This window comes from Homo sapiens, chromosome 11 (assembly GCF_000001405.40).
Source record: "Homo sapiens chromosome 11, GRCh38.p14 Primary Assembly".
Lineage (NCBI taxonomy): Eukaryota > Metazoa > Chordata > Mammalia > Primates > Hominidae > Homo > Homo sapiens.
The window spans coordinates 121898352-121907953 of NC_000011.10; the positions used below are offsets into that span (position 1 = coordinate 121898352).

At 43.3% G+C, this 9602-nt stretch overlaps 1 long non-coding RNA gene across 1 annotated transcript in view; it reads left to right on the plus strand.

Annotated features, from left to right (window-relative positions):
• LOC107984402 (uncharacterized) overlaps positions 1 to 8134 on the plus strand; it is a 37164-nt gene extending 29030 nt beyond the window's left edge. The window contains exon 3 of the long non-coding RNA XR_007062925.1: positions 7956 to 8134. This is a non-coding gene — a long non-coding RNA (uncharacterized LOC107984402). The remainder of the gene's footprint in view (positions 1 to 7955) is intronic.
• Positions 8135 to 9602: the final 1468 nt, after the last annotated feature.

The window sequence follows — 9602 nt, forward strand, 5'->3', positions numbered from 1 at the left end:
TAAGAAGGTCTATACAGGGGGATAAGGGTCATTCATTCATTCAACCACTTATATTTGTAAAGACCATTAAGTGCCAGGCATTTTGCCAAACACTGGATTTATAGCTGTGGCACATTGTATTTTCCAAAGAAAGATGGCTGCATGAGTATTTCCCATCCCACATGCTCTCCTTACAACAGGTTGCTGACCTTCCCCTGTGGGGTTGAGAGATGTGTTACCCTCCCTCCCCATTGACTCTGGGTGGGCCTGGGACTGTGTCAAAGTGGCACTGGGTGATTGGACTCAGTGGTAGAAGGCAATACAGTTTCTGCCTGGTTCACTCTCTTGGGACACTTGCCTTTGGAGCCCTGGGGGGCCACGTAGCATGTGTGGCCACTCTGAAACTACTGTGAGGGACAAACTATAAGGAGAAACTACACAGGGGTGAAGAGGTGGCCCAAAATGCCCCAGCTGTTTGAGTTTTCCCATCACAGATATGTGAGTGATGAAGTGTCGGCAATGATTCCAGCTGAGCCCTGGTCTGATGGTCGTTACTGGGAGACCCTGAGTGAGAACTGGCTGAACTGGCTGAGCCCATTAAACTCCAGAACCATGAGACATAACAATCGTAATAAATGTTGTTTTAAGACACTCGGTTTTGGGGTGGCTTGTTTTGCAGCCATAGAGAAGTGTAAATAAATAAAGCATGATGTGATAAGTCTCATAATAGCTGTGCTGACATTGTGCAATTGAATCGTAGAGAAGAAAGTGCCTGATTCTGCCGGCGTAATGTGGGAGGGAAGGTGGTTAGGTCAGGGAAGTGTTTAGAGGAGAGGTGAAGTATGAGCTGCAACTTTAAGCATGAGTAGGTGCATGTCAACTACATACTGCAAATGGAGAGAAAGAGACGGATAAAGGCAGGAGAAAAAAGAAAGAATTGGCAGCGTTTTGAAACTGCTTCACTATGGGGCACGGAACAAAGAAAGAGACAAGCTATAAATGGCTACGAGGTGTTTACTCTCTTCCTCTTATTCATGTAGAGATATTCTAGTACCAGTGGCCACTGCCTATGTAACCTCTTTTGCCTCATTTAAATTAACTTTACCTGAATTTAATCAAAATCTACAGTGTTCAGTAAAAATTTCTTTATTGGTAGAAAGTAGGCAGACCCGGGCATCTAGAGGTACAATAGTGATACCGTCTAATAACTAGCATGTGACCTTCTCTATGTGAGATTAAAGGATCAGCTGCTGATATCACGCAGCTCAGCATGGCTGTGTCTGAGATGCATGCTCTGAGCACCCCCTTTGCACCTGCCAGAGTGCTTGGGCCATGCTTCTCCCCTGGCGCACACACATTGAGATGAAGGGGACTCCCTCCACAGTGGCTTGGCTTACTCAGCTGTCTGCACTAGCCCATCACTGAGTGACGTATTGGGGGTAGGGAAGCAGGGTGTGTGTAGAGGAGATGAGAGGAGAAATCAGCTTTTTCCTGGAAAAGGACTTCTTGGTATTCTTTTCTGATCAGGAGCAAGAAGACAACTTAATTAAGAGACAGCATTTAATGACAAGGAAAGAAAATGTTCCTTATCTTGTAAATTCCTTCGCTAATGGAATCTTCCAGCCCACCCTGGGTAAGTAGGTTGACTGTGCCAAAAGGATTCACTGCCAGGAATGCTCCATCATTCAAGTGCAGGGCAGGAGCCTCATGATATGGGTACAGACTGGCCATCCTATCATTTCGGAATTTTGGATGTTCCTCGACTATAGAAACATACCTGCAGGCATGCTCCCAGGATTTTCTCAGAAACTGTAGCCATTTTGCATGATCACATTTCCTTATCATACAGTCCCATGCAACCCCAGGCATGAGCCACATTTATTCCTGAAGCACAGGGTACATTTTCATGTGCTTGCCCTCTTATTTCCATCTGGATTTCTCTTTCCTCCCTTCCTCCCCTAGGAAACTCATCCTCATCCTCAGATGCAGACTTCAATGGCACCTTCTCTGTAAAAGCTTCCCTAGGTAGAATTGATTGTTTCTACTAGATGCTGCCTTAGTTAGTTGGTAGTAAAGTATAGACAATATGAAACATGAATATAGATTTAAGGGTCAGACAGACATGGATTCAAATCCTGATTAGCAAGATTGCTAATTCTGTGATTTGGGGCAAGATAGTTGTATTAGGTTCCTAGAGTTGCTGTAATAAAGTACGAGGAGGTAGGGTGGCTTAAAACAATAGAAATTTATTATTTCACAGATCTAGAATCTCAAGGGCTGAAGTAAAGGCATTGGCACATCCATGTTCGCTCTGAAAGATATAAGGGGAGGACTTTTCCTTGTTTCCTCTACCTTCTGGTGTTTGCCCACAATTCTTGGCTTTCTTTGGCTTGGAGAGGCACCACACCAATCTCTGCCCTGTCTCCACCTTGGCTTAGTTGTCCTCTTCTTTTGTGTCTCTACATTATCTTCCCTTTGTGCATGTCTGTCTCTTGTGTCCAGATTGGTCCCCTCTATCAGGACGCCAGTCACACTGCATTAGGGCCCACCCTAATGACCTCATCTGAACTTGATGACATCTGCAAAGATTCTATTTCCAAATAAGGTCACTTCACAGGTACCAGGGGCTAGAGCTTGAACACATCTTTTGAGGAGACACAATTCAACCCATAATAGAAGTTAATCTTTCTAAGCTTTAGTTTCCTTATCTGAAAAGTGGAGGGTTATAATAGTAGCAAAGTCAAAGAGATATTGTGGGGATTCAATTAAATAGCACATCTGAAGTATTAGACTGGATGCTTGGCAAATAGCCCTCAATAAAAGGTGGCTTTATTAAAGAAAACATCCACTGGGTGGAGAGGCAATTCAGCTTTGTATTCTCAACTCCCATCCTCCAAAACCTATCATCATCTTGAGATTTCCCGCTAAACCCACTGAAACACTATATGTACAGAAACTCCTCTAAGATCTGGGTAGTGGGGACAGTAATCATTAGAAAAAGTTTACCAAAGGGAAAGTGACTTTTAAAGAAGAGAAAACTGAGGCATGGTCTGCCTCTTTCACATCTCAAACTGTGACTGATCCAAGTTTGATTTTATGAATTAAGTTGGCAGCTCTCCTTATCCTAAAACCAGGTACCTTTATATTCCTTTGCATATATGCCCAGTAATGGGATTGCTGAGTCAAATGGTATTTCTGCTTCTAGATCTTTGAGGAATTGCCACACTGTCTTCCACCATGGTTGAACACAGGAACAGGAAACCAAACACCACATGTTCTCACTTGTAAGTGGAAGCTGAACAATGAGAACACATGGACACATGTGGAGCAACACATGCTGGGCCAGTCGAGAGGGTCGGGGGAGGGAGAGCATCAGGAAGAATAGCTAATGGATGGTGGGTTTAATACATAGGTGATGGGTTGATCTGTGCAGCAAACAGCCATGGCACATGTTTACCTATGTAACAAAACCTGCACATCCTGCACGTGTACCCCAGAACTTAAAATAAACGTTGATGAAAAAAAGAAATTAAAAAAAATAAAACCAGGTATCATTCGAAGGAGAAGCCACTAGCTTGACTTTATTTTCTTATTCATTGGAGAGACTTTGGAGACTTCTCAGAAAACATCTTGACTTCTGTCCTGGAGATTTGCAGGATTTCAGCACCAGAGGCCCTGAACAACGGTCAGGCAGTTCCAAGATTTCCCTTGTATGCGTTGTCCATGGGCCCAAACTCAATGACACTGTCCAGCTCTCAGGAAGTAGTGCAGAGGATGAAAAGTAACCACATGACCTGCCTGGCCTTCACACCCTAGGGAAACCGCCCAGAGCCCTGACAGCTCCTTCATGTCAGTGTTCCAATGAAAGCCATCAGCCAAAATGCATTTCATCTGGGAGCCCTTCTGGTCCAGGCTCTGTTGCCTTTTCTATGTGATCATTCCTCAGCCTTCAAAATCAGTAATGGTCAAAGCAATAAAGACTAATTTTATGCTCTAGAACTTGACAGTGAAAAATATTTTAGGTGATGGTCTATGACTGGTTGATTTAGGAAACCAACAAACCTGACAGCTGAACATAACCCGACGGCACAGGAGTGATGGGATGATCATATGTTCTGTTTTGCACCATGTAAGGCAGTTGAAGTGCAATTCAGCAGATCAAATGTAACTCTTCTTGGCTTTTGCTCTTTTTCTTTTAGGAAATAAATATTTCAAACTATTTCCAGTATATCCTGTCATATAGGTCAAATTTTCAAAATACTTGCATTAGTAAGGGTTCCCTAGAGAGCAGGATGTATATAGAGAAATAGATTTATTATACAAAATTGACTCACATGATTATGCAGGCTGACAAGTCCTCAGATCTGCAGTTGGTAAGCTGGAGACCCAGGAGAGACAATGTGTAGTCCAGTCTTAGTCCCAAGTCCTGAGACCCAGGATAGCTAATGGTATAAGCTGCATCCTAAAAGCCGTGGGCTCAAGACCCCATAAAAGTCAATATTTCAGTTTGAGCCTGAAGGTCAGGGAAGACTAATGCCCCAGCTCAAAGCTCATGCAGGGGCAATTGCATCTTACTCATGAGAGAGTCAGCCTTTTGATCAATCCAGGCCTCAACTGATTGAATGAGACACATCTGCTTTAGGGAGGACTATCTGCTTTACTTATTCTAGGGAATCAAGTGTTAACTTCATCCAAAAACATCTGCACAGACACATCCAGAATAATGTTTGACCAAATATCCAACTGAGCACCTTGAGGCCCAATCAGATTGACACATAAAATTGTTACAATAATGGAGTTGATTTTTACACAGCTAAGACTATGGACTTTTGATTCTGAATGCCTGAGTTCAGATGCACACTCAGCTGTTTACTAACTACATGGCCTCAGGCAGGTCACTTTATTATATCAGGGCCTCAGTTTCTTCAGCTGTGAAATGGAGATAATAATAGTTACTCTATCACAGGTTTGGTATAAAGATTAGATTAAGAAAAATACTTAGCATAACACTTTGCCCAGGATAAATTCTCAGTAGTAACTCTTTTATTCCTCCCTCCCTTTATTCTTTCCTTCTCTATACACTTTTAAACATACAATGTAGGAAGTATAAAGATGAATGAGATGTGATTCCTGCCCTTGAGGGGTTTATGATATAACACTGAAGGACAAGGCTGTGAACAAGAACCGTGTGTATAGATTCAGGCTGGGCACAGTGGCTCACACCTGTAATCCTAGCACTTTGGGAGGCTGAGGTGGGTGGATCACCTGAAGTCAGGAGTTTGAGACCAGCCTGACCAACACGGTGAAACCCCATCTCTACTAAATACAAAAAATTAGCTGGGTGTGGTGGCACACATCTGTAATCCCAGCTACTTGGGAGGCCGAGGCAGAAGAATCGCTTGAACCCAAGAGGCGGAGGTTGCAGTGAGCCGAGATTGTACCATTGCACTCCAGCCTGGGCAACAAGAGAGAAACTCTGTCTCAAAAACAAACAAACAAACAAACAAATAACATGTAGATCCTGAGACAGAAGTATGAACACTCCACTGTAGGGGCATGAAGCAGAGCTATGGAGCAAAATAGTGAAATGTTCTGCACAGCTTGTCATTCTGGTACAAGGTGTAGAATGGAGATTTTCATCTGGAAATCTGTGGGTATGAAAACCAGACTGGGACAGTAACCAAAAACTTCCCCTCAACACCTCCTAGCTCCTTCCTCTTTTTACAGCCAGGCTTCCAGAAATGGTCTACATTTCATCTTCCCACCATGAAACCTCCCCTCACTCCCAGACCTGCTGCAGTCAGGCTCCTGTCTCTACTCTTCCACTAAAACTTCTCTTTTGGAGGCCAACTTCAGCAGTCTCTCTTAAATTCTTACTCTGCTTTTTTGATTGACCTTGTGCCTTCCTCTTTTTTGAAGCTGATTTCTGTTCTTTTTGTGGCACGGCTCTTTTCTGTTTTTCCCCCTCTGTCTCTGACTTGTCTTCCCTTCCACCCACCCCTTAAGTGCTGCACTTCTCTCCGGTTCCTCTTTTGAATACCTTTTTTTTTTTTTTTGAGGCGGAGTCTTGCTCTGTTGCCCAGGCTAGAGTGCAGTGGCACAATCTCAGCTCACCACAACCTCGCCTCCCTGGTACAAGTGATTCTTCTGCGTCAGCCTCCTGAGTAGCTGGGACTACAGGCACGTGCCACCATGTCAGTCTAATTTTTGTATTTTTAGTAGATATGGGGGTTTCACTATGTTGGCCATGGTGGCCTTGAACTCCTGACCTCGTGATCTGCCCTCCTCAGCCTCCTAAAGTACTGGGATTACAGGCATGAGCCAACACACCTGGACGCTCTTTTGCATATCTTTTTTTTCTTGGCCTATGCTCCCAGGCTGGCCTCAACTCTGACCTCAACTATCATTTGTGTGCTATATTTTCAACTTAGTTTTCCCTCCTGGATTTTTTTTTTTTTTTTTTTTTTTTTGAGACAGTTTCACTGTGTCACCCAGGCTGGAATGCAGTGGCACGATCTCGGCTCACGGCAACCTCTGCCTCCTGGAGTCAAGTGATTCTCTGCCTCAGCCTCCCAGGTAGCTGGGGTTACAGGCACATGCCATCACACCTGGCTAATTTTTGTATTTTTAGTAGAGTCGTGGTTTTACCATATTGGCCATGCTGGTCTCAAACTCCTGACCTCAGATGATCCACCTGCCTCAGCCTCCCAAAGTGCTGGGATTACAGGCATGAGCCACTGCACCCAGCTCCTCGATTGTAGATGCATGTTTCCTGAATGATTCACCTAGATATTCTGTACTATTAAATACCTCAAATTCAACATGTGTTCTTGATTTTCATTTCTGACACCTTCCTCAGCCAACCAGGCCAGAAACCTGATAGTCTGCAGGTTTCCTATCCACATCCTCTCAATTCTATGAACAAAATGTCTCTCAAATTTGTGATCTCTGACCTTCCTTGTCTTTCTCTTGTCTCACTGCAATAGACTCCTGAATGACCTTAATACCTCCAGGCTCTGCTTGGTCCTGGCTATGGACCTCACACAGTCCTCTTAGACATGCATCTGATCAATGGCAACAAAAGCCAAAATTGACAAATGGAATCTAATTAAACTCAAGAGCTTCTGCACAGCAAAAGAAACTTCCATCAGAGTGAACAGGCAACCTACAAAATGGGAGAAAATTTTCGCAACCTACTCATCTGACAAAGGGCTAATATCCAGAATCTACAATGAACTCAAACAAATTTACAAGAAAAAAACAAACAACCCCATCAAAAAGTGGGCGAAGGACATGAACAGACACTTCTCAAAAGAAGACATTTATGCAGCCAAAAAACACATGAAAAAATGCTCACCATCACTGTCCATCAGAGAAATGCAAATCAAAACCACAATGAGATACCATCTCACACCAGTTAGAATGGCGATCGTTAAAAAGTCAGGAAACAACAGGTGCTGGAGAGGATGTGGAGAAATAGGAACACTTTTACACTGTTGGTGGGACTGTAAACTAGTTCAACCCTTGTGGAAGTCAGTGTGGCGATTCCTCAGGGATCTAGAACTAGAAATACCATTTGACCCAGCCATCCCGTTACTGGGTATATACCCAAAGGACTATAAATCATGCTGCTATAAAGACATGCACACGTATGTTTATTGATCAAAGCCCACTCTTGCTGAAAACCCTTCTGTTGTCCATTAGTTTAGGAAAAAGTCCATACTCCTTACTCCAACCTTCAAGGCTCTTTACGATCTGATTTGTACCTATCTTTCTAACCTATTTCTTCCAAGATCCTGAAATATAATGGCCTATTTGGGGCTGAATTGTGTCTTCCCAAAATACACACGTTGAAATCCTAACCTCCGATACTTCAGAATGTCACTGTATTTGGAGACAGGGTCTTCAAAGAGGTAATTCAGTTAAAACGAGGTCATCAGTGTGGTCCCAATCTAATATGACTGGTGTCCTTATAGGAAGAAGAGTTGTGGACATAGACACATACAGAGAGAAGACCATGTGAAGTCACAGGGAGAAGACAGCCACCTACATACCAAGGAGAGAGGCTGTACAAGAAACCAACCCTGATGACACCTTGATCTTGGACTTCCAGCTTCCAGATTTACAGGAAAATAAATTTCCGTTGTTTAAGCCACACAGTCTATGGCATTTTGTTATGGCAGTTCTAGCAAACTAATATACAGCCTATATCATATACTACTCAGTTTGACTACTTTTATTTTGGAACATATTATACTTTTGCTACTTTTGCTTATGCAGTTTCTTTTGCTTAGTGTCCCTTGCTAGTAGATATTTATATTTAAAGATATTTTAGGCCTGGCACAGTGGCTCACACCTGTAATTCCAACACTTTGGCAGGCTGAGGTGAGTAAATCACTTGAGGCCAGGAGTTTGAGATCAGCCTGGCTAACATGGCGAAACCCCTTCTCTACTAAAAAATACAAAAGTTAGCTGGGCGTGGTGGCGGGTGCCTGTAATCCCAGCTACTTGGGAGGCTGAGGCAGGAGAATGGCGTGAACCTGGGAGGCGGAGCTTGCAGTGAGCCGAGATTGTGCCACTGCAATCTGGCCTAGGCTAAAGAGCGGGACTCCGTCTCAAAAAAAAAAAAAAAAAAAAAAAAGTAATTTCTCCCTCTTCTACATTTCTTTTGTAATTTTCCCTTACTTCTAATAAAGCAACCATCACATTATATTTTTATTTCTCCTGTAAAATTGCACCAGTCCTCAAAGAAAAGATCAGAGCAGTGACAAGAGTCAAGTCAGACATGGTGGTTGCTTGGAATGGTATGATGACAGTGTTGGTGAAAATACATGAAAAGAGGTAGAATTGATGACTGTGGTGGTTTATAAAACGTAGGGAGACAAGTTAGAAGTCCATATGAAGGATGCAGTCCTGGAATGAGGATGCTGTCATCTGGGACCATAAGACATGAAGACAAGAGTGGCGTTATGAACTGAAAGGAGCCAGGAGCTTTGTTGGAATAGAACCACCCTATTAACCCTGGACTTCCTGCCTGGGCTAATTTGCATTTGAGAGAGAAATAAACTACTGTACATAAGCCACTGCAATTTGTTTTCCCACTTGCCGTCAATATAATCCTAACGGAGAGAGCAGACAACAAGGTAAGTGTTAGCCCACCCATTTCCTGCCACTTCCCACTTCCTTCTCTGTTTCTGTGAAACTTTTTTTCACACTCAAGTCATAGTGAACTCCTTGTCTTGCCCACAGAGAAGTCTTAAAACATTCCCCCAGCCAGCTGGTTGTCCTCTTTGTGTTCCTGTAGCCCAGTGCTATGAGAAATTAGTGCACAGGGTGCCATGGGAGACTCAACAAAGGCCATGCTGGGTGATAGAAATGGCAAGTAGAAAGCCATAGAGGCATGACAGAGACTGGCACATTCAGTGAATTGCAAGGAACTTGGCATAGCTGAAGTATAATGTAAGTGATTGAGATTGAAGCTAAAGAGGTAGACAGGAGCTAATACTGAAAGGTCTCTTTTGCTAAGCTAAGGATCTTAACTTTCACATGCCCGCCTTGGAACATTCGTTCCAAAGAAAAACAAGAAGAGGGGAATATCTTTGCCATTGATTCACCTGTATAAG